General features: G+C 35.9%; 1 protein-coding gene across 3 annotated transcripts in view, besides 1 other annotated feature; it reads right to left on the bottom strand.

The window, feature by feature from the left end:
• The window catches only part of SEMA3C (semaphorin 3C), a 179,852-nt gene that overhangs the window by 130,223 nt on the left and 22,689 nt on the right, over window positions 1-26,940 (bottom strand). The gene's annotated exons all lie outside the window — the stretch shown is intronic.
• Window positions 10,537-11,736: an enhancer, noted in NCBI's record as "P300/CBP strongly-dependent group 1 enhancer chr7:80512613-80513812 (GRCh37/hg19 assembly coordinates)". NCBI's record gives its function as "activates an origin of replication core promoter dependent on BRD2, BRD4, P300/CBP, MED14 and CDK7 cofactors, with strong dependence on P300/CBP, by STARR-seq in HCT116 cells {active_cell/tissue: HCT116}" and the evidence as "EXISTENCE:reporter gene assay evidence [ECO:0000049][PMID:35650434]".

The raw sequence follows: 26,940 nt of genomic DNA on the forward strand, positions 1-26,940 counted from the left end.
ACTGCACTCCAGCCTGGCAACAGAGCGAGACTCTGTCAAAAAAAAAAAAAAAAAAAAAAAAGATTGCTGAATTCTCATATTGCTTCTGTGTTCAGTATATTGCAATTTCACCTGTCACATAGCTTTTGGAAAACTCCACTATACATTCATGAGAATGAGAGTGAAAAAAAAAAAAAAAAAAAAGAAAGCCACATCTTACTTTTGTTGTGAAACTAGTTTTGACCTTGTGGACCCCCTGAAAGATCCTGGGGGCTTCAGGGATCCCCAGACCACGCTTTGAGAACTACTGGAAGAAGGGAACAAAGGGCAGGTGAAGGGTCAAAACTAAGTAAAAGCTAAGCTGAGTTCAGAAGAGTTGGAAGGACCAAAAACAACTCTAGGCATAAAAAGCAAAAAGCGTACAGGGCCCAAAGTAGGCACCAGCTGGAAAAATGGAGAACTTGAAGAGAGCCACTGTGGTGAGACTGTGGTGAGCAGGGAAAAGTGTGGTATAAACTGGTTGCAGAGCAGGCACAGCCAGACTGTGCAGGGCAAACGTCATAAACTAGTGGCCTGTGGTTCTAATCTGGACATCTGTCTTGCAGATGTTTCGAGTTTGTTTGCACAGTGCTTTATTACTATCTTTATGACAATGATGATGATGATGACAATGATGATGACGATGAGATACTTGAGTCAATTTTTAAGTGGAGACTTTGCCTAAAAATCTGGATTTCTGGATTCTCTTAAACGAATCAAATCATCAGGCAATACTAGGCCCATTTCTATGTGGGGCAAGGAGAACTGAGTAACATCTAGTGCATTAGAGGAAGCCGTAGTCTCCACCATCCCTATTGCATTTTCAGAGTTGAAGCTCTCTTCATTGCCATTCCTCTTGGCCTAAGTCACTTATTAAAGTCACTATCCTCACTGCACAAACTTGTCGTATGCATCAGACCTCTAGGAGGGCCTTTTGTAGTGTTTCGTTTTTGATTTTAAGTGAAATGAGAAAATCTTTGAATTGTGGTATGCAAGGGAGTGATACTCTCATTTCCATTTTTAGAAGACTTCCAGTTGTTGCATGGAAAACAGTTTGTGCACAGGGGCAAGGGTAGAAGCTCTAGTTAGGATGTTCACTGTGCTCTGGCCTCTCCTAGCCTTATTTGCACCATTAGGAGTTATGTTGTTGTTCCTGTTTTTCCCATGCTGAAAGCTCTTCCTCCCTCTTGCAACTCAACTTACCTTCTCTTCTTTCAAGATCACCTCAAAGCCCTTTTTTGGAGTGGAGACAAAGGTGTAAGGTGTCCCAAAACCCCAAGTGTTCCTGGCCTGAGGCATTTACTGTACTCCTTGTTTATACTAACAACTTATAATCAATGGTTTTGGAGCTTTTCACAGTAAGTTATCTCATCCATTAGACTGTAAATTCCTTGAGGGCCTGAACTCAACTGCTCTTATCTCCTAGAATTGACTGCTCCTAACAACCCCAACAAGATAAATCATAACAATTAGCAGTGGTGTTTACAGCATTCCAATTCCTTAGGTGCTTTTCTCACATGGTCTAGGCTTTCAAAGTCCTTTGCATACTGGTTGTTAGGCAGGGTTTTGAGAAATTATCAGAATTATATCCATGTGATAAGTAATTGTTTTTACAGCAAGGGTACGACCTTTTCTATGTTCAATGCATTATTTAAAAGACCATAGCAAGTTATTTATTTATTTATTTATTTATTTATTTATTTATGAGACGGAGTTTCACTCTTGTTGCCCAGGCTGGAGTGCAATGGCACGATCTTGGCTCACTACAACCTCCGCCTCCCAGGTTCAAGCGATTCTCCTGCCTCAGCCTCCCAAGTACCTGGAATTACAGGTGTCCACCACCACACCTGGTTAATTTTTTGTGTTTTTAGTAGAGACAGGGTTTCACCAGGTTGACCAGGCTGGTCTTGAACTCCTGACCTCAGTTAATCCACCCACCTCGGCCTCCCAAAGTGCAGGGATTACAGGCATGAGCCAGCGCGTCAGGCCCATAGCAAGTTATTTACTCTTCTCTCTTAGTTTCTTCATCTGTAAAATGGTGTTTTAAAAAAATAGCACTTTAGAGGCTGAGGCAGGTGGAGCACGTGAGGTCAGGAGTTCGAGACCAGCCTGACCAACAAGATGAAACCCCAACTCTAGTAAAAATACAAAAATTAGCTGCCAGGTGTGGTGGCAGGTACCTGTAGTCCCAGCTACTCGGGAGGCTGAGACAGGACAATTGCTTGAACTTGGGAGGCGGAGCTTGCAGTGAGCAGAGATCACGCCACTGTACTCCAGCCTGGGCGATGGAGCAAGACTCCGTCTCAGGAAACAAAACAAAACCAAAAAAAAAAAACACCTTCCTCATAGGTTGTTTTTTCCTCATAGGTGAGGAATAAATTAGATTGTACATACTAAGTGTTCAAGTCTTTTTAACTGGATGGTTGCGTGACAAATACCAGCAACATGATTCTTAGATGCTTGTCCCTGCATACAAAAGAAATAATGACTATGTCTGCATTATTCAAAATCAGAAAAACTGTGACATTTCCAAAGTTCTCCCTACTAAAGGGCATATAGAAGCTTACTTCCATTTGCTATATTAATTTTTTAGTATCAAAACTAGTTTCAGTGCACTCAGTATATATATTACTTAAAGACACATTTCTGGGAGAAATTTATGATTAACCAATTAATGTGGAGTAGTCCCTCCTTGTTGGTAGTTTGGCTTTCCAAGGTTTCAGTCGCCCTTAGTCAAGCACAATCGGAAAAAATTAAATGAAAAATTCCAAAAATAAACAATTTACAAGTTTTAAATTATGTGCTGCTCTGAGTAAGGTCATAAAATCCCCCTCCATCCAACTCCATCACACTAGGGAAACATGCTTTTGTCGAGCATATCCACTACCCGCCTATTACTCACTTAGCAGCCTTCTGGGTGATCAGACTGACTGCAGAAGTATCTCAGTGTTTGTGATCTAGTAATCCGTACTTTACTTAATAATGGCCCCAAAGTGCAAGAGTAGTGATGCAGGCAATGTGGATATGACAAAAAGAAGCTGTAAGTGCTTCTTACACGTGAAAAGGTGAAACTTCACAATAAGAAAAGAAAAAAAAATTATATGCTGAGATTGCTAAGACCTACAGTAAGAACACATCTTCTATCGGTGAAACTGGGAAGGAAGTTAAAAAAAAAAATGTGCTAGTTTTGCTGTCACACCTCAAACTGCAAAACTTATGGCCACCGTGCATGATAACTACTTAGCACGGAGAAGGTATTAAATTTGTGGGTGGAAGATGTGAACAGAAAAATATTCCTACTGATGGAAATCGAGTTTGCCACCATGCACGGTCTCAGGCATCTGCTGGGGGTCTTTGGAACACATCCCCTGCAGATAAAAAGGGACTACTGTATTAATAATTCCTCTAATCTATTTTTAGTAACTTTAGAATTTTAGATATTCTTATATTATCTGGTTTAGCATCAAGCTCCATAATAAGTGTATTTAAGTATATACTTATTTAAGTATATTAAGTATTTGCATACTTAAGCATTTAACTTAAGTATTTCAGTATGGTGCCACTCTTCTATACAGGCAGGTTGAGTGTTTTAAAGAGGTATATAAGATGGCACAGGGAAAAGCACAATGATTAAGAACAGAGACTCTGGCACCAGATGGCTTGGTTTGAGCCCTGGATGCTCTACCATTTGTTTTGTGTCACAGCTAACTTCTCTGTGCCTCATTCGCCCCATCTATCAATTGGAACTAATAACAGTATCTAATTTACTGAGTTGTTTTAGAGATTAAACAAGTTGTAGTAAAACATTTGCAAAGTGTGTTCCCAAATAATGAGAATGTTACCAAATTATTTAAGAAACAATTAAAATATAAATTATACTGCTTTCTCATCATTAAAATATTTTTCAAAATTACTTAAATCATTAAATAGTTGCCTCTGCATTATAAAATAAAGCCCTTTGATAATATTTAAATTAGGCCACAATGAAAGTCCCATGAATTCTTCAATTTGTCAATCTGATTTGTCACATGCAAAATACGTATTCTTAAGCAGCGTGAAAACACTTGTCAGTAAATTGAAAATGCTGCTGGTCTCCCAAACCTCTCCTTTCTCTGCTCTTTCCATCACTGCATTGCTCCCAGCAGTTCTCGGGGAATTGCTTTCAGGGTCACGCCAAACTGGACCCAAGAGATTCCAATAATTACATCCCAGTGGTGTTGACATTCAGCTTTGTCCCACAAGCTGCTGAAGACAGGCAGGGCGCCATCTGTCATGTTAGATGGTCACTAGTTAACGATAAGTGGTGGAGATTACTTTTCTGACATTCTACAGTTTGCTTCTGAGTCAGCCTTGTAAAGTCTGGAGCAATTAAGAGTTATCTTGGGAAAAGATCATAGCAAGACTATGAGTACACATTGATAATATAGAATTACAAAATTGAAGGCACAGTATCACAGGAAACATGCATACATCACTCCTAATCACACTACACACTTTTTCTACAGTGGCAACCACATACTTTTAACAAGTGCCCTAATTTATTATCTATTCTGAGACACAACATTTGTTAGTCATGCCTACTGAATTCTTCAAATTTGGAATGCTTTGCCTCGTTCTCCTTTAACTGCCAAGCTCTTTGTAACCTGAAGATCTCTAACTTCAGCAGAAACACTTTCCTTTATAGTGAAAAAAAAAATTAATCTCTGTAAAGATTAATCTCAAGTGTGATTTAAATTACCATACTCCCTCATGTAGTCTCATCTTAATGTTTTCATGCCATTTGGCAATAGTGGTCACTATACTTCAAACAGTATTTTATCTACATTTCTTTAAAATATACTTATCAGTTGAAAGATGGAAAAAAAGAAAATACATTCACCTGGTTTTCCCCCTTTCTTGTCCATGTGGACACAGTTGTAGTGACCATATAATTCAATATTTTCTCATCTAGTCTTTGGTTATGCAGTGGTAAGAAAATTGATTGTAATAAGGATTTTATATTTTTAATTTTTTTTTCAGAGTATAACTTTTGAAATGGAAGAGATAATTTCTGACGTGTGAGAATGGATGCACTAGAGTTGGAAGCAATATGACTGAAGAAGGCAAAACTCCTCCCAGGTGATTCCACATCATGAATTCCCACTCAAGGTGAGCTTATTTATTACTTCACTTCAACTCACACCTTCAGTTAAAGTTTTGTATTGACAACTTAAAATTTATCTCCTTCATTTAAATTTAATTACACTTTGTAAGTTGAGCCTCTTCCATTTACATGAATTTCTTACTTGTTTCAAGTCCCATAGAATAAAAAAAATGAGGCCGGGTGCGGTGGCTCACACCTGTAATCCCAGCACTTTGGAAGGCTGAGGTGGGCGGATCACCTGAGGTCGGGAGTTTGAGACCAGCCTGACCCACTCGGAGAAACCCCATCTCTACTAAAAATACAAAATTAATTGGGCTTGGTGGCGCATGCCTATAATCCCAGCTACTTGGGAAAGCTGAGGCAGGAGAATCGCTTGAACCTGGGAGGCGGAGGTTGCGGTGAGCCGAGATTGCACCACTGCACTCCAGCCTGGGCAATAAGAGCAAAACTCCGTCTCAAAAAACAAACAAACAAAAAAGAATTAAAAAATGAATATAATTTCACAAAGACTGACACTGGGACACTGAGGTAATCTGGAAAGTTTTATATTATAAGCTATAAAGGACAAAGTAATTGAAAGTATGGGGGTGGTGAGAGAGGAAGTTAGCTTGGGCACTGGGATACAGGACTGTCATTTACTGGATACAAAACAAGGAAGAGAAAGGAGTTTGGTGAAAGGAGTGAGTGGGGATCCAAGTTAGATATCTTAAGTCTGAGGGTGCCTATGGCTTGTGGATGTTCAATTAGGTGTCCAGTACACCTAATACAATATTTTTCTTGCATATAAAAATATTGGGTTCAGGAGGGAATTAGGGACTAGAAATACACCTGGAAAAGATCACAGCATAAAGATAGTGATGGAAGCCTTGGCAGTGATGAGATTGCCCAGAATGTGGAGTGTGATCCTAGAGACACTGATATTTAAGAAGATACATAAAGATGAATTCAAAAATATTAGAAAAAAAAGTTGTTATAGAGGTAGGAAATGATGTGAAAGAATACTGTAATTAAAGCTAAAGAAAAGAGTATTTTCAAGAACAGTGGCCCATGTCAAATGTTACACAGTAATCAAATCGGATAAGGGGTGAAAGTATTCTAATGTGGCAATGAAGATGCAGAGGTCCCTTCATTGAGGTAGTGGTGAAGAACCCCAATTGTAGAGGCCTGGAAACCAATGAAGAGGAGAGGATGTACAAATACCAGATACAGAAATGCAGCCAAAGTGCTTGCTACCAAACAAGAGAAGGCAGCAACTGCTAGAAAATTGAACCTAGGAAGGATTATTAAAAAAAAAATAAAGAAAAACAATGGGAGATGTCTGAGCATACATTAATGGAAAATGGAAATGGGCATCTGAGCAGGACTTCCTGGAGGTAGACAAGAGGGACAAATAAGTGATGGAACAAAGTTCTTTTAGAGACAAAGGATGAAGAATTCCAGAACATGAGGAATGAAATAACCTTCACAAAAGGGGCATGTGATTCTTTTCAGTCAGCAGGGTAAGGGGCAAGAGAGATGTGGGTGTAGTAAGGTTGTAGGCACCTGATTGTCCTCTCAAGATGCTGCACAAGAATTGGGAGGGGAAGGAACACAGATTCTAACATACAACATTCTGTGAAACCCTCCCTTCAGTCCATGCATTCAGTTATTCATGGAATTTAGCTACTCATTTCCCTGAGTTATGCTATAGAGTCTATGTTACAGCCTGCAGCTATATATTTAGTATCTTATACTTAGCTTATTAAGCTTTAGCTTAATAGCTTTCATATCATATTCAATATCTTATATTTAGTGATATATTAGCTTTTGTTGAGGTAATATATAACTAAAGTTTTAGTGTAAAACACCAACATAGAATAAGCATAACAGGAGGCAAACCACAGAGGTTAGGTGGTATTTAAAATTAGTTTGAACAAGTGACCAAACCTCTTCAGGGTGACATGGAGCAAACAATCTTACAAGGTTTCTCTGTGACGTTTATAGAATTTCCAGTTCTCTTCTTTATAGGAGACCCATCACGGTACCAACGAAATGAGATGTGCCTTTCAACCCAATTCCTCTTTTACTTTAGCTCCTACTACTCATTCTCTCACTCACTCTGCTGGCGTTCTTCCCAGAATATGCTAGAAATTCTCCATCACACCTTTGGGCCTTTGCTCTGGCTTTTTCCTCTGTCTGGAATGCTCTTCCCACAGATATCCCCTTGGTTAAGTCCCTTATTCCATTCAAATCTTTGCTCAAATCTCAACATCTCCAGGAGGCGAACCCTGACTACCATTTAATACCACAGTCTGCCCTTTCCCCATCCTTGCAGAACACCATTAACCTACTCTGTGTTTTCTTGTCCACAGTACCTATCATTGTTTAAGATAGTGAATAATTTATTCATCATGTTTAGTGTTTTTTATCTGTCTCCTTCCACAAGAATATAAGATTCACTATAGTACAAGTACTTGTTCTGTTCAAAGATGTATTCTGAGTCTCTAACTCAGTATCTGGCACATAGTGCTAAGTATCTGTTAAATGAATGAATGAATTTGATGCTGTGGTGATTCTCACTATGTTTAAAAATCATAGTGGTTGCTTATCTTAGAAATACATGTTGGACAATTTACAGAAATTTTTCAAAATATCTATGCCTGGGGGGAAATGCAACTGAAATGTGTTCACTTTTACTTCCCTCCATGTATACGCCATAATCTTACCCAAAAGCAAATCACAGGCTGGGAGTGGTGGCTCACGCCTGTAATCCCAGTACTTTGGGAGCCCAAGGCAGGCAGACCACTTGAGTTCAAGAGTTCCAGATCAGCCTGGCCACCATGGTGAAACCCCATCTCTACTAAAAACACAAAAATTAGCCGGGCGTGCTGACAGGTGCCTGTAGTCCCAGCTACTCAGGAGGCTGAGACAGAAGAATCGCTTAAATCCTGGAGGTGAAGGCTGCAGTGAGCTGAGATCACATCACTGCATTCCAGCCTGGGTGACAGAGAGACACTCTGTCTCAAAAAACAAAAACAAAAACAGAAGTAAATCGGATCGCAGAAAGAAATACCTCATCATACCCTTTAAGGGAGTCTCTTACATTGCAAATATTCCATCACAATTATTCTTATAAAATTACAATTCTGATGATAATCTACTGAAGTTAATTTAATTGCAAGGATGTACGATGTTGTTTCTGATAAAGAATGATCTTCTACCAAAAAAATTCATGCCTGTTACTTTTGTTGCCTGGAGAAAGAAACACACACACACACACACACACACACACACACACACACACACACACTCTCTCTCATGTAAAGTTTTTCAATCATTTTAACCAAGAAGTCAATAAGACCAATAAGATTATTCTTCCAAATGAATCTCAAATATTGTTCTACTTATAGTCTCTTAGCTGGTTTTTTGTCATTTTCATATACCTGAAAATAACCTGTAAGTTATATGGAAATTTGCAATGTGTTTTATGGTGAAGTCATTTTGTTTTTTATCACTAACATAGCAACACTAGTTTCTAAGAAAACAGAATTGATACTTCCTCTGAGTGCACTCTGAGTTTTATACAATACTTACAAGAAATAATGAACAATTTCTGGCATCACTGGAGGGGTGTAAGTGATTTTACATGTGTAAGTGATTAGGAAACTGAATGCTGAATTCTCCCAGAGCTTATCTTTTGTAATATGGAAAATCAAACCTCTCCTACATGTGATATTTGTCTTAGTAATCATGGGAACAATTAACTGTGCTTACAATTGGCTTCATAGCAGCAGCAGCAATGAGTTGAAGTAAGGTTAGAGAATTAGATTCATATTGTTCCTTATGGAGATAACCCATTAGTAGGGCCTCTAAACAGGCAGTGCATTAATATGAAGACAGTGTGAGGGGGAAAATATCAAGCCACATAAAATTTGTTGTGATAGAGAAAGCTTGCTGAGTGTCATAAAAGGCTGAGGAGGTTTATCCACGTATGGATACAAGTATCATCTATTGGGGGACAAAACACAAAATAAACTACTCATGCAACGTTGTTGATTTAATAATAAATATTTTGAATGTATTATATTTAAATAAAACATAAATATCTCAAGTGAAGGAAAGATGTTGCATATAGAAGTATTTGCGCACACAAGAAGTGCCCACGTTCCTTCACTGTCCATCCACGAAGTACAAATTTTACCATCAGCATATAAAAGAACTACAATCACAGCTTATTGGTCACTATAAATGTAGCACAAATCACTACACCTCATTCTCAAAATGCCACTGACTCAATACTGTGTGGATCAGACCACTAAAATGCCTCCACACAAAATCTCAACCTCAATTAATAAAATGAGATGTTAATAATGTCTGTTTTATTGGCCTGAAATGTAACACACCTTCTGGCATTTTTATTTTCTTAGAGACTAAACCATAGCAAGGAGTTTGTGATCACTGTATAGCGCTGAGTGAAACCTCAAAATACATTCTGGAATTTGTAAGGGATGCTTTTTTTTTTTTTTTTTTTTTTTTTTTGGTATTTTCACTGTCAATTATGCCTCGTATTATTTATTTATTTGCCAAAATACGACTGTATGAAAAAAAGCTACCTCATAGAGCTCATGACACATAATAGGTATTCACTGAGCATTTGGTGATTTGTTAAGCACTCACATCAATAAAATATTTCAGCTCAACAGGCACACTAGGGGCCAGATGAGCACTGACTTTCCCCATTGAGGAGTCTCGATTACCTCATGTCTCACTTCAAACAATTTATTTTTCTTGTATGCATAGCTGGGTTCAAGAGTTCTTTCTTGTTTTAATTGGATATATTCTTTTTCTTTTCTTTTTGTAAGTCCTATAATACAGTAAAGACATCAAATAGAACCCTTTTAGAGTTATGTGGAAAACTTTTATATATAAATATTTTATTTGGACAGTTTTCACATAAAAATAGACATATGAAAATTTAAAAAAGAAAAGGTCCTGATGAGGAGGCTCCTATCAGAAAGTGACATTTACCTAAACCCTCTTATATAACAACAACAACAACAACAACAACAAACTAAAGGTAAATACACCTGAAAGATACAAAAGAGGATGCCATGAGATACACCTGAATCTCTGAGGAAACACGTTCTCTCTCTTTCATTAGGTAAATTGCTTTGAATGACTTCTTTCATGTTTTACTGTTATATACCTTTATATTTTATCTCTCAAGCATTTGTTAATACGCCACAAGCTATCCTATATGTGCTTTTTTTATACTTAGCAATGAACACAAAATGCATTCATTAACAAATAATTATACCAAATCAACAGCCTCCTTCTAAAATTAAAGGAAAGGGGTCTGAAAATGTTGCTTGTGACTAAGCAGGTTACGTCACACATGGAATTTAGATTCTGTTCCAAATCTGAGGACAGAAGCACACACCTTAGCAGGACCCCTTATTCCAATCACAAAAAGCAGAACCAGTCCCAGGAGTGTCTGTGTTTGAACTGTGCTTGATCTGGGATACTTTCAAACTGAATCAGAGGTAACTCATCTGAATTATCAAACAAAACTAATTATATAATCATAATCTCCTAAGATAAAAGTATGGGTTTTCCCTTAATACATGAACTTTTAAGATCAGGCCTCTTACTTCCCCAGTTGGATTTTTGCATACTCAGACATAAGGTCACCACCCTGTCTTTGGAATGACATTTTGTGTTTTTGTCCTATGACTCACCCATGCTTCTTGCTGTTCCTTCCATTCTGGACACAAATGAAGGCTCACAATTTGCCCTAAGGCATGTTTCAAAAGCAGCTTTACAGTGATTCACTGCCCTTTGGTCCTTCAGAGTATCAAAGCACATCTTTAAATCATGAGCAAAAAAAATGAGCACATCTTTAAATCATGAGACTTCAACAAAATGCAGTCATACCATTAATTAACTCATAATTCACAAGAATCATTGCTCAACTTTCATTTTTACTTAGCAGTCATTACTTCCCACAAGAAATGTTTTTAAGAGTCTGAACTAAGAGTGAGGCACTGTGATAAATCCAAGAGGTCGTTTCCTAACATCTAGGGTTTAAGTCACTGTCATGGCCACTTTATGAGCAGAAATTCCATTTTGGCAAAAATACTTGTTAACATGGTACATTTTCTTTGAATTGCATTAGTTTTGAATTTTAATTCTAATCTATTAATAAGCTCATTTTCATTTTATTGTTATAAAAAAAGTGAAAGCCCAAGAAATTTACCCGATTTTATATGCAGACAGATGTAAATGAAATCTCATACAATCAACTTGTTTCTCCTAAAAGATGTGAAATATTTAAGACATAACTATCCATCTGAATTTCCACATTTTATAGGTAATCTCAAAATTGAGATTAGTCCAAAATCATGAGTCTCTTAGTGAAAGCATCAAGAACAAGTTTCTTGACTCTAACATAGAGGACTTTTAACTACATTGTCTCTTCCTAACCGCTACAAAAATGTGAGACCCTCATAACTAACTTATCAAACATTAGATACTCTGTAAATATATCCGATTTTTTTAAAAGACTCCTATGATTCAAAAGGATGAATAAATTAATGAAACTTTTTACAGACTTCTGTATTGACAATTCTGTAGTGAAGATAAGTAGCAAATATTTTCCATCAGTCTAAACAGAAGAGGCAAGCAGAGGGAAACTTCAGCTTTTGAGGGAAAGTGTTGATGCGAGAATGTAAGCAGTTCACTCTCATACAAACAACGGCTTTGTCTGCCATGGAAGCTAGTGCAAGGTAACCAAGATGTAAACTCTAAACACATGTTCAGCAGAAATAGTAAAGTGACTGTTTCTTTGTAGAAGAATTTCTTTATGTGTTTATTACTGCTTTGATGTACACCATAAATTTCTGCTTAAAGGTCACAAGATTGTGATAACAAATCAAAAACCAGGTTGTGATAATATGTTGACGGTGTAGGAACACTGTGTAAAGAACTGGAGAATAATAAACATTAAGGCCAGTACCGGCATTTTAAAAATACAGATTAGATGCTCTTAAAAAATCTTCTAAAAATATTTGGTTCCCACAAAGTACAAGCAAAATATTTTACTGTTGAGTAGAATTCATTCTTTTTATGAAATCCTTGTACTTGAAAGCTTTCATAAGATTATCGTTTTGTGATGACATTTCTCTTTAGAATGAGACAAGAAAGACAATTCTTATAATTAAACGTGTTAACTGGTTTAATAGTTTTGCAACTCAGGATTTTTCCCAATATATTGTTTCTGAAGCAGAGTATCACCTGATGTCTGAAATCTAATACCTTTTTTTGTTTGTTTGTTTTCAGACATTTGGAAGATAGCTCTTCTCTACATTTTCCCCCTCTTTTATCCCTAGGTAAATTGTTTAAGGAATAGTTTTTGCCTTCTTAAAAAACCTGGATGACTGGGCTTGGTGGCTTACACCTGTAATCCTAGCACTTTGGGAGGCTGAGGTGGGCGGACTGCTTGAGCTCAGGAGTTCAAGACCTGCCTAACCAACATGACAAACCCCATCTCTACAAAGAAATGAAAAAATTAGCCAGGCATGGTGGTGCATGCCCATAGTCCCAGCTACTTGGGAGGCTGAGGTGTGAGGATCCTTTGAGCCCACAAAGTAGAGACTGCAGTGAGCTGAGATTGCGCCACTGCACTTCAGCGTGAGCAACACAGTGAGACCCTATCTCAAAAAACAAAGAAACAAATATCCTGTATATTGGTTGTTGGTGAGTTCACATGAAAATACAATTGTTTAAGGTAAAAGCTTTAACAGCTCTTTCATAATATAAGTTTTAAACACATGAGTCAAAGTGATGTAAATTTATATTTAAAATCAGTTTTCAAAACAATATCCAGCATAGGCACCTATAAACTATGTACATTCCACCGCTCCAAAAATACTGCATGTACATATTTGCAACCTCTGCTGCTCCAGGCCAGTGACTGTGCCTGTGCAGTCCTTTAATCTAACTGTCTTGTCATCGCACAGTATGTCATTAGTTTATACAAACCTGCTGTGCTAAGCATCTATTACAACAAACCTGCTGATGACATATTGATTTTTTAGTTTCAGTTGTCCCCTTTGAGACCTTAGGACAGCTGTGTTTTTTGTAAGATTCCACTGAGTCTAAAATATACTCACATTATCCATTCAAACTAACTCAAATAGAGACATTGTTAATTACTAGTGAATGCATCTACTGTTGAAGATTCTATCTAATAGAAAAGACCAATCAGCAAATTAATTTATATTATTGCACATATCAAGTCTACCTTTTTTTTTTACTTTTAATTTCTAAGATCTGCTAATGTGGTTATGACATGGTATTGGTATAATAAATATATACCATATATGCAGTATGTATTCATATATCTGTGCATTTATGAAACAGGCTCAGCTGGATGTTGTACAACTGGAAATTAAACTTTTTTTTTTTTTTTGGAGACAGAGTCTTGCTCTGTTGCCCAGGATGGAGTGCAGTGGTGTGATCTCAGCTCACTGCAACCTCCGCCTCCTGGGTTCAAGTGACTCTCCTGTCTCAGCCTTCTGAGTAGCTGGGATTACAGGCACGCACCACCATACCCAGCTAATTTTTGTATTTTTAGTACAGATGGGGTTTCACCATGTTGGTCAGGCTGGTCTCGAACTACTGACCTCATGATCTGCCTGCCTCAGCCTCCCAAAGTGCTGGGATTACAGGCATGAGCCACCTTGCCCAGCCAGTTAAACTTCTTAAAAGTGACTTGCATTCTCAAGCTCTCCCATGACATATCATCTTAGAAGTTGCTTGGTTAGCAAAAATTCAGATATCTAAGGAGTTAGTTAAATGTTGCATCATAAAATTATTAAACCAACCTTGTGCTAAAATGTCACCAGCATTTATTCTAACCTTAAATTATGAATAATATGACCGAATATATGTAGTTAATAATCTCACCAAGTCTATTTTTTTAAATAACAAGACCAGTAAGAAAAGAATTAGGGTATTGCTAGGTAACAAATATTGATCAATTTTTCTTTCAATGCTAAACACTAAAGTCTTGAAATGTGTGCATGTTTGTATAAAATCATTAATATGTTATATAAATTAAATTAACTAAAATTTCAGCCTCTCAGTTCTTGACATACACATATAGTTACCAGGGAGTGAAATTAAAATATTCCCTTAAAAGATTTCTATTTTAATGTATCAGTGCCATTTTACAAAGCAGATCCAAAATTTAAGGCATAATACATTAAGCACATTTAAATTTTCTCACATGAAATATTTTAAGTGTCTGCAAAGTTTTAACAGTTATTAAATATCTAAACAGATTATGCTCACCAATTTTAGTATTCAAAACAATTAATTCAATTTGGTATAACAGAAATAGTATGAGGAAACAAGTCAATAAATAGAAAAGCACGATTTATTGAAACTTTATGTGAGTTTCTCTGTGAGTTTCTCTCATGAGTTTCTCTCATAGTGAGAGTGAATGCCTCTCACTATGGTTCTATCTTCAGTAAATATATTAACTTTAGAGTAAAGCAGAAAGATTAAATCAATGATTCAAATCCCTGACCCAAGATTAAATGGATGAATCGAATCTCCAAATCAAAGCATTGGTAGTATGTCTAACAAATTACAGTATTAAACAATACAGTAGCCTTCAGGCAAAGGTTAAAGACTATTACCATCTATCTGTCAAACCAGTTATTTAGATGATGGTTACAGGCTTTACATTTCTTAGAGTTAATTACATCACAGATTTTTTAAATGAATTGAAAGAGCTGCTTATCCTGAGTAAAAAGCATAACTAAGATTGGATACATACTGACAATTACCTGTCATGGGAAAAAATCTTAAAAGACTCCAAATACGTTCAACTCTTTAAGGCAATATTCTGGTGTTAGACATAGTCTAATATAGAGGCTTTTAAAATATTGATTTTTATATTATCTTAGACATCTCTGATTGTAATTTTGATTTCAATTTATCAACAGTAAATAGTCTACATAAAGAATATAGCTGGAAGGACAGAAATGTAGATTTATGCTACTTGTCTGAAAAGGTCTCTTATTACATGTTTTAAAGATTTAGTGATTTTTACATTAAAAAATAAAATGTTTTAGAAAGAAGTCTCTGGCAATTTTTCCCCTTAAACTATGAAAACTCAGAAATGATTCCTGAGTCTCTAGGCAACTTAAAAAGAAATAATTGGCCAAGTGTGGTGGCTCATGCCTGTAAATCCCAGCACTTTGAGAGGCTGAGGCAGGAGGATCCCTTGAGCTCAGGAGTTGGAGACTATCCTGGGCAACATGGCAAAACCCCATCTCTACAAAAAATACAAAAAACTAGCCGGGCATGGTGGAGTGTGCCTGTAGTCCCAGTTATTTGGGAGGCCGAGGCAGGAGGATTACCTGAGTCCAGGAAAATGAGCCACTTGGGAGGCTGAGGCAGGAGGATCACCTAAGCCCAGGGAGGTAGAGGCTGCAGTGAGCTGAGATGACATCACTGCATCCCAGTCTAGGTGATGGGAGTGAGACCCTGTCTAAAAATAAATAAATAAATAAATAGATAATAATTACATGGTTCTTACAAGGTTGTTGACGTGAACATTAAGTCCAATAATAATGTAGCAAAGAAACATCTAGGAGACATACATAAAATATCTATCTACATTGTAATTAACAAAGGACAAGGAAGACATTTCTACTATCGTTCTCAAGTGTCTGAATTTTCATTTATGTCATTACTTCTGTTTGTGTCAAAAGTATGAAGATTTTTATACCAAGATTTTATATACAGTTTTCCTTATAGACATTATAGACATTTAAAATATTATAACCACAATAACAAAAAAATATTGAGTCCAACTAAGAAGATGGTATATTTTATCCCATAATTTAATGTTAAAATGTACCTTGATTTTATCTTTTATTTGAAATGCATTTTAATTTTTTTTTCTTTTGAGATGGAGTCTCACTCAGGAACCCTGGCTGGGGTGCAAGGGCGCGATCTCTGCTCACTGCAACCTCTGCCTCCCAGGTTCAAGTGATTCTCCTGCCTCAGCCTCCCGAGTAGCTGGGATTAGAGACGTGTGCCACCACGCCCAGCTAATTTTTGTGTTTTAGTAGAGATGGGGTTTTACCATGTTGGCCAGGCTGGTCTCCAACTCCCCACCTCAGGTGATCCACCCACTTCAGCCTCTCAAAGTGCCAGGACTACAGGCGTAAGCCACCACGCTCGGCCATGTTTTGAATTTTATATTACAAATATGAATGTCTTTTTTGTTTCATTTGACTTCGCAATAACCTTATTTGAGAAAGGGCAGTTATTATTATATTCTTTTAGGTATAATAAATGTAAAGATTGTGAAGTTTACAGGAATAAGATGTAGTAAAATTAAAACTAGAATAGAGGTCTCTGTATTCCTAATCTTATATACAAACTTTGTTACATATAATCATCTTTCTGCGTTATGAATAAATCTTCAAATAATTACTTATTAAACATAATTTACTATCAATATAGAAGATGTCATTATCCTCTTTGTTGTATTACAACACATTCCTGTGAAAGACTTAAGATATCTGTAATATAGGTTCTAAATTATAATTTAATCTTTAAAATATATTGTCCTCAAAGAGGTATGGTTACAGATGTATTATGCATTATTAGTAAAAGTATAGATTATTTTGGGTAACATAAATACAAATCAAAGTAATTATATACTTTTCTAAAGTGCCATGTTTTCAAGGCAGAGATGTGGTTATTACAAACATAAATATGACAAAATAAATGATGACACATCATATATTGTAAAAAGAAAAAAAAGATTCTTTTTTTCTTTATAGCATCCTCCCAAATAATGCCTAATGATATAAATTTGTTTCATCCATGATAATTTTTAGTAACAGAATCACAAATAACTAAGTCAAGTCAGGCAGATGGAGTCAGATGTGGGCGATCAATCATTCAGATTATACCTTTGGTATCTTTAAGCAAATTAGTCAAACTATTGTTTCTGGGTGTTTGCTTGTTTGATATGTAGTCTATTATTCTTATAATTGGAAAACTAATTAAAATGTATAGAAGTAAATCAGATTAGATGTGCATTAAGAGAAACCATTTGTTTTCAGAAGTCCAACATATTGAAGGGACTGATGTTGTGGCTAAAAGGTCTATTGATTTTGAAAATCTGGGCACTTGTGTAAGTTAATCTATCACATTTTCAGTACATAAATCTTTGACATCTGTTGCTATCATTTTTTGATAAAATATTACTATGGGTCAATCAAGGACAAGAAAAAAAGACAGCTTGTTTTTATAATCTCCTCAATGACATATACAGGCAAATATTTTCTGAAGGAAGCTGAGGGTCTTCCAATGCTGCAAGCATTCCCAAATATTTCTCCCTTTGGTTGTGGCCCCCTTTTCAACATAGGCCTTAAAACTCAATGAAAAGACTAATGTCTAAGTTAAAAGTGTATAAAGAAAAATAAAAATATATTCAAAAAACTTAAAATCTTGAAGGGGTACTTAGTAAAATAAACTTTAGAAACCACTTCTAAACAACCAAATCTAAAGGCTCAAAAATGAAAGTTGCTTTTTACTTGAGGTTTGGCTGAGTTTATATACTTTCTACTTTTTAAATCTATTGGTCTGGAAACTGAAATACACATGTTCAGTGGTGGCTGAACTTTCCCCAACTGGCTTGACACATGATAAACTACAAAGTTCATGGAGCTCCAAAAATACCCAAGAAGAACGAAGAGCTCATGTCAGAGAAATAGTCCTACAAAGGAAGTTTAGATTCTGGCAAGGTTTTTAAAATAACGTCCTAGCTAATATGATATTATTTGCATATTATCACTTTCTGAAAAATCTCCAACAGTCAAATGTGCTGTGCCTTAAACTGATGCATCATCTGGCTACAAAGCCAGTAATTTATGATCTTTGTAGTGCTGTATTTTAGCTTGTTTCTTTGAGAAGCATATGCACATGTTATCTGCATGTCCTCTGACCTCCCTGTACTAATAAGATTTAATGAATATTGGTTCAGATCTCAATTCCAGGGCCTAGCACAATTAAAAGCCTTCCAGGAATTCCATGTCTAATTCCTCTGTACTTTTCTCTGTTTCACTTCTTGATTTATAGCAGTCTGCTCGCTTCTGCCCTTAGTAATAGAGGACTTGCTTCTGCTCCATGTAATAGAGGTCTACCTTTTTACTGGTTTCCGTATAAATTTCAGACACACTCAGCATTTTGTGATATTTGGTTAATTTACTGATTGTCCATAAGTGAAACAGAAGGAAACTCATCAGACATTGAAGCCCTCCTGCCATCTTCCGTCTATATCCCGTCTTGCGTCCAAACTCCTGACATAGGTCCATCCTCACTTTGCAAAACCTGTTACTGAGTGAGTTCAATTCCACTCACTCCTTATCCCTCCCTCCCCCATAATACTTCTACTGCTTCCCTAGTAGCAACAGCCTAGAGGAAGAGCTTATCTTCTCCATCCCCCTTAAATTCTGAGAAATGAACTTTATCCATCATAAAATTCTTCAAACAATTTGAAATATACATGGAGGGATAGGAATCAGAATGGTAACAAAAAAAAAAGTAAGGAAAAACAAGAAGACATACATGCCCTTTCTTTGCACACCTATCTTTGTTTTAAATGATTAAAAACATGGGAAATATCAATTAATTAAAAAATATTTTCAAATGTTTTTAAAAAAGAAAAATGCAAATTATTTTATTGAGTCCTGGGGGAAAATAGTCTAACCCTTCCTGCTGAATTTAATAGTTAAAATCAAACTAAAAGTTACAAAACTATGAGGACTAGTGATTTCGTTCTCTTAACTAAAATTCATTCTCCAGATTATATAAAGTATCTTAATTTCCCTAAATGAAGATTGTTTTTCCATGCTAAGCAGAAAAGTCATATTATTATAAAATTTACTTTTTAAAGTAAAAAGCATTAGCAATAGTTTTATAATTCAAACAAGAATAATCAACCAGAAATATTTATTTTCTTTCCCATTATTTTATAAGATACCTACCCATACGCTTAGGATACTATCTTCCCCAAAAAATCTGAAACAGTAGAAATAGTAAATATCTTATAAACCATAAAATCTTTCATTCTTATATTACTAATAGGCTAGTTCATTCAGAGATACAGCTTTGCAATAACTCTTTGCATAATGGTAGAATTGTAGGATCACAGACAAAAATCATTGGCTTCTGTACAGTATCTTTACAGGAGGCAATAAACTACTACTTGCCAAATTGACTAGGATCATTTTGACATTTATCCTGCAGTTCTCTATAATGTTTTATAATTAAAAGTTAAATGCACATTAATATTTTCCTGGGAGACCTAGCATAGATTATTAAAATGTATTTACAGAGAGATCATTATTTACTTTAACAGTCAGTAGGAATTTCTTTGTTTTTTTCTAAAAGCAAGGTGATCTGTGATATTTTCGTCCTTTTGTATGATTCTCTACTTCTTATTCAAGACCTGTGATTAAGTTGTGTGTATATTGTCTGTAAAATGAAACAAAAGTAGGTCCTAAACATTGTAAGAATATGGTATACTAAAAAGCTTTGAAACCAAAAGAAAATTTAAAAAAACAACAACAACAACAATGTAGAGTACCTCATACCTAACAGACACTATAGAAAAGCTGATATTTTTTTCCGTTGAAGTTAGGACATTAGATCATTTTTCACAAAAATAGATTCCTTAAATAAGACATGTTGTCTAACAGGTATTTACAAGGCATTTCTAGAAATTCAGGCGTAAGTATTTTGCTCTTTGTCTACTCAAGTTTCTAACTAAATTCCCACTTTGAACAAAAAATTCCTCTTTTAAAGGTTGGAACATGTGGTTGTATTTGATGTTTTTTTCCTTCATTTTTCATGGCTCTAACAAGAATAATCTTTTCTGGAAAACAAAAGACTGTGTTTCTTGTGATTTTATTCTAAGGGAATACAGGGTATTGGTTATTCTTATTTTCTTATTCTTTCTTCATTGATAAAGATAGAAGCTAGGGATTGTGTTACATTGAGCAACCTAAAGTTGTGCTTCAACTTCATAAAACCTCTTGTCCTTAAGCTCCTTCATTAGCAGATGACTAAAAGACGAAAGGTGGAAAATGTGAAGCCCAGAGTTTTTATTTATTTTTAGTTATATTTATCCCTTTTCATTAGCTTATTTATATTGCTTTCCTTATCTAGCCCTCCTTTTCTCCTAATGTACCTTGAATTCCAAACAACTGCCCTGTCAGGGCAACTTGTCTCATCGTTTGGACAGTTCATGAGCCAGGTTAGGTTTCTCCAGCCCCATTTGTCTGAGTCTCCACCATCAACATTGTTCAAATCCATGACATGGTGTCTTAGACTCGAGGCAGAACAAATTGGGAAATTTATGTCTACACCATTGTTCTATCAGATACACTCTCTGCCTTCTTTCCTGACCATATGTTCTTAAACTGTACTCTTTCCAGGTACAACTAAGATTTTACACCCCTTTTCCTTTATCTCTCTAGCCTTCAACACTGATTGCTAATAATATCATCTGTTATATAGTTATTATTCTCATCATCTCCTTATGGGATTGTAAGTTCATGGCAAGAAAGAAATTTACCAATTACTGATGTCTGTTCGATACAAAAGACAATGCCTCAAATACAGTAGGTGCTCAAGAAGAATTTTAAATTATTTTATTTAAGGGAAATATATTGGAAGGCTTGGGTGGAGGGGTCATATTGATACGTGCTACTGTGTATTTGGTGTTAGATGTCATCCTAGATTTACATAGACTCTGAGGTTACATAAATAATTCAGAGAATACATTAAGGATATTTCCAAGGTATATACATAATTCCTGGAAAAGAAAAACCAACCTATAAAAACTTCAGTTAAATTACACTTCAGCCATTTTGAAACAGACAAGCACTTTTAAAATGTAAACAACGTTACAACGTTATGAGAGTTTTCATGCTGTATCATGAATGAAAGGTAACTGAAGACATTCCTCTACTTTAATTACCATTTCTACAACTCACTTGAATTTTAACCCTTGACACACATGAATGCTGTGAAAACTAGTTCTATTTCCCAAGGATAAACAATCTACTTTGCCATCGTTAAAAAATAAATATCCAATTTATCATACAACAACCAAATGCTTTCTTTTGTAGATAATACTGTCTACATACTACTACCAATTCATCCATGAATACTGTAATTACAATTTTAATTATAGCAGGTGCATAAGAAAGTAGAGTATACCATTTTTCTTATTTAAATGTAGAGACCTCGATTTTTAAAGAATATAAAGAAAACACAGTAAGTTAGATCTGTATATTTGTAATTAGGAAATAAAATCTTTGTACCTCCCTAATAACTGAATTATTAATAGTTCTTGATGTGTTACACAATGGTTTCACATTGTCATGTCAATACAATGTTCACTGGAATTAAATTTTACATGATTTAGTTTTTCAATATTACAAGAATTTTTTTTAATGTAGCACTCATAGCCACATGTTTCTACAAAAAAATTTTTTTAATCACACATTGCTCCAAAGAAGCTGTTTCCAAGGTAACGGGATTTGAACCCAGTCTGATGCATTAGCACTGGGGGTTTGAAGGCAGACGACTGACTATGACTACACATTATTACTTTTTCTTCTTTTCTTTGGATGCTAAGAGCAAACAGTGGATATTTTAATAAATCAACTAATTTTTGCTTGTTTTAGGTCCCCAAACTCTTGCAACTGATCCTAATTTACCTTTCATAACTATTTTTTTTAATGCCTGATTGGACCCACTCTTAACCTATTTTTATCATCCTTCACACTGCATTATCTCAATTCCTCCATTTACTTCTTAAGTGGTTAGGTAGAGAAGAGAGTGATGATGGGGGAACACCATGGATGCACAAGTAATAAGTATATCCAAGTTCTAGTTACGCTGCCTAGTAGCCAAGATTCTTCATCTCTTTGGGCCTCCCTCAGCTGTAATATAAGGGGCCAGATTAGATGATTCTAATGTTTCTTTTAAACTGTGAGAAATAACACTGTAAAATAAAACATGTCCCAGTCACTAATGGCATCCAACTATCACCACCTGATTTCTTCCTTACTGATTTATCCCCACACACACGTGAGCATGCACGCGCATGTACACACAAACTCCATAAATCCACCTTCTCTTTGAAAGTGCCATTTATTTCACCTAAAACTGTTCCTAAACTAGTCTTTACTAATGGCACTTAATCTCCATGTGGCTTAAAGTAACAAACCAAGGAGTATGTGTGTGGTGAGCCTGTGGTCATGAATAAGAGGAAATTTGAATGTAAAGGGCAGAAAGCAATGGAAAATGGAAGCCAGCCGACTACCACTGTTTTTCCAGCTGTTTGTTTCACTGGTCAAAAATTCTAGTAAAACAGATAGTATTTCTTTACAGCCTCATTAGTTTCTCCTATGTAAACTGACAGTGCAAGGCAATGTTCACTGCATCTAATGTTCAGATGCAGCAATCTTTTAATTTTTAAAAATTATTTCTTGACTCTAGACTTAACAAAATGACTTTCATAAAGGTGTTAAAAATCTGCAAAAAATTCGAATCCTTGAAAAATAAAACAAATTCAGTCCTTATATACACATCACACTACACATGTGCACGGAATGATTAGAATGTTGCAGAGATTATTAAATTTAAACATAAAAGGGTCTCAGGAATACATGTCATCTATTAATTATCTAGGTGGAAACAATTATGAGCTTTATAATGAGGAGAATGCCTTAAAAAATCTTGTTAAAGATACAAACAGCTACTTACTTTTTAAAATATCTCTGGGATCTGTAAAAATTAAGGTGATGATTCAATTTAGGGCTGTCTAAAGCAAAATTTATTCTATAGCAATTAATTACCTTTATTTCATCCATTTTAAAAGTTTTCTTCTATAATCCTTTAACATCTGACAGATATTTAGGCCTGTGAATAAAATTTGTAGTTGCTCCTTAATTTGTTTCACAATATTTTCTGAAATATTGTGAAATAAAAAGAAAATATAGATAATACAGTAATGTGAATGAGAGTTGTGTTTAGTTTATCTTATCAATTGTACTTAGTAATATCCCCATAGTAGTCTAAGCATGATATTAATATCTAATATTGTAATTCATATTACAATATGAATTTTTAAAATTGCTTTTTCGATTTCCCCAAAATAATCAATGATTGTCTTTTAAAATAGCCCTACAACTGTAAACATGGAATTCATTCATTAATTTACAATAACTGATTCCATTGTATAGAAACTGAAAATGCTTCAAACCTCAGTAAAATCAGGAAAATAAAGTTGATATAACCATTTGTGTTAAATCACAGTTATGTAAAAACTTGTGTTGTCTGCCCTCTAGTTGCTCCAACTCTAGGAGTCCTTTCTCATTTCTCTATTACTGTATGCTGTTATTTAGCTAAGCCTTAGTCATAAACCTGCTATCAAGAAAAGTTATATCTCAGATTACCTTTAAAGAGAATGCATTAGATATATGCAGGATAAGGTACATGCAATATACAATTATTTGAGATAATTAAATATATGAGATAACGTAGAAAGGGAAACAGAAAAGTTGTCTTAGCCTCCTAAATCAGCCTAATGCTTAACTGGAACCTCAGGTGGAATAGGCTGTTTAGCTCTAATAGTTAACAGGATCTCTTGTGACCCTCCATCAGTCCTGGTTGTTGTTTCTTCACAACTTGCTGTCTCAGAATTGTCTGTTGGGCCCTATTCTGGTCCTTGCCATGCTATGAACCAGCTAGCCTACATCCTAACTTCTCTTCTTTCTGAGACAACTTTTCTAGAAGCCCCTTCAATGGGGCTTCTCCTTTCCTTGGGGCTTCTCCTTTCCTTAAGTCTTCTGCCCTTACCCAGCTTCCAATGTCTGCTTTCTCCCTGTGTATCTCAATTTCTTCACCCTCTCCTGATGCTCCGTCTCGTGTTCCGATCTCAAAAGAAAGGAAACCCGGTGACAGTGTGTGGCAGGGTAGCAAGACTTGTGTGGCAGGGGTGTGGGGGCAGGTAGGCGCCGGAGAGCATGGGGCTGTGGGATGGGCCAGCAACTTGCATGGCCTGACTCAACCACTGGCACACATTTTTGGAATGTTAGCAATTCTACTCAATTCTTCTCCCTCTAATTTCCCTTTTAGTAATTATTAGAAAAATAAAGATCTAAAATAAACTAGAGCTAGACAAAACTATTCATTTTTGCTGTCTGAGTTATGAGGCAGCATGTGGAAACATTGTATTTGGGAATTCCCATCAAAAACACAGAAACATAAAACCATAAAACACTAAGAAAAAGGCCATAAAAACATTAAAATATCAACATCCTTTCCTTGTTCCTTGAATAACAAGTGGATCTCCAGAGGGAAGTAGTGCCTTCTTTTGGGGGCTGGGAACTACAGGAGAGATTCAGTAGTAAAAGAGCTGCTTTAAGTAAGCTTTAGTCAACAGACCACACTTGCCTACATGCCCTGGCCAATTCTGACCTCCCTTCTTGAACACCAGAGAAGAAAAGCAAAGGATAAGTAAAAATGAGAGGAGATGTTCATGATAGGAAACATAGAAAATAGTGCCCAGATACGAAGAGGGATAGTAGAAATAAGAATTAGAAAAACTGAAGAGAAGAAAGATAACCTAGATGAGGAAAACATGCTTAAAAAAAAGTTTGAGGCTGTTTAATTGACTGCAAGGTTTGATACTGGCATAAGCAAACAAGTAAATAGAAATTCAGAAGGCTTCATTTACCATTTAAAAGATTAAAGCTACTGTTCAGCTTTGCTTAGTCATAAATTTTATTGTTTACTTTGTTGTGAAGTGTCTTTATTGATACTACAGTCAGACAATATAGAAAAATGGATCCTAAATACATTGGAATAAATACATAATAAAGCTATTTTTCTAAATTGTTTATAAACTTAAAAATATAGGGTTGTTTTCTTTGTAGTTAGAGCCTGGCATGCCTTATTAAAACTCTTGCCAATTGTCCTAAAGGATAACGAGATAATTTAGGGGCTGTTTATATTGATCAATTCCAGATTCTTTTTTCTAAAATATATCGTAGATTAAAAAACAGAAAAATAAGCCAGGCATGGTGGCTCACCCCCTGTAATCCTAGCACTTTGGGAGGCTGAGGTGGGCAGATCACCTGAGGTCAGGAGTTTGAGACCAGCCTGGCCAACATGCTGAACCCCGCGTGCCGACGAAAAATACAAAAATTAGCCAGGCATGGTGGCACATGCCTGTAGTCCCAGCTACTCGGGAGGCTGGGGCAGGAGAATCGCTTGAACCCAGGAAACAGAGGTTGCAGTGAGCCGAGATCGCGCCACTGCACTCCAGCCTGGGTGACAGAGCGAGATTTTGTCTCAAAACAAACAAACAAACAACAGAAAAATATAAATCTAAGTACTAAAATGTGAAATAATTCTTATTGAAGATGAGTAACACTGAATTCCATATATAATAATAACAGAAACAAAGATGAGTATATAGCAGAGTAATTGTATTAATAAGAATTATTGTATGTATAAAAATATGCATGTGTCAAGCAATGTTTTTTGTGTTAATATTTAGCAAAGTATAGGCAGAACCAAATCACACTAGTCCTGCAGCTCACAGGACATGGGAATCAGGCTTCCATAATCACTCTGTATTGAGAATCAGGACACGCAGGTAGGGAATCTCTTTCCTTAAACATACTTGCATAAAGGTAGGATAGGTTTTCACTGAAATTACAGAATAATTTTTTCACAATAATTATGCAAAATAGTATTAGCCCACATTGTCTTATTAGTAGCCACAGCCTGTCCATAATTTTTGTTTGACCAAAAAAAAAAAAAAAAAATTGAGAACTGTTGGTCATAGTAGTGGCTTGATGAATTCTATCCCAAAGTCTTTCAACATGGCCTAAATTGGTTTATAGGTGATTTGTAGCTTCATACAAACCTCAACATACACACCTATGTACACAAATGGATAAAAATGAAGTAATGCTATTGTTGAATCCCTTCACTAAATAAACATTCTTATGTGCCCTACTTTATCAACATTTTTTTTGTTTGAGACAGAGTCTCGCTCTGTTGGCCAGGCTGAAGTGCAGTGGCATGATCTCGGCTCACTGCAACCTCCGCCGCCCGGGCTCAAGCAATTCTCCTGCCTCAGCCTCCTGAGTAGCTGCGATTACAGGCGTGTGCCACTGCGCCCGGCTACTTTTTGTATTTTTAGTAGAGACAGGGTTTTACCATGTTGGCCAGGCTGGTCTCGAACTCCTGACCTCAGGTAATCCGCCCATCTTGGCCTCCGAAAGTGCTGGGATTACAGGTGTGAGCCACTGTGCTCGGCCTCAACTTATTTTTTCGTAACAAATATGTTCGTAGACAAAGACAAAAGTAAATGCATTATTTTATTCAGTTTTAAAATGATATGACATATTGTTAGAAAGATATGATATACACCTTGTTTTATGACTTTAACTTTTTTCTAATTGTATTTTCATTGAAATAAACAGTTCTACTTTTTTTCTTCTCTGCCTTGATCAATACCACCCTGGAGACAGCATTCTTATAAGAACTTTTGCTTTAAATATAAATTAATTTTTTATCTGTCACTGTGCTTTACTCTAGACCAAGAGTAGAAAACTCCATGTTGTTGAGGTCAGGCAAGTAACATAAATTAGTAAAAGAAACCAGGCTAGAAGAAGGGC

The sequence above is a fragment of the Homo sapiens genome, chromosome 7 (assembly GCF_000001405.40).
Source record: "Homo sapiens chromosome 7, GRCh38.p14 Primary Assembly".
Taxonomy (NCBI): Eukaryota; Metazoa; Chordata; class Mammalia; order Primates; family Hominidae; genus Homo; species Homo sapiens.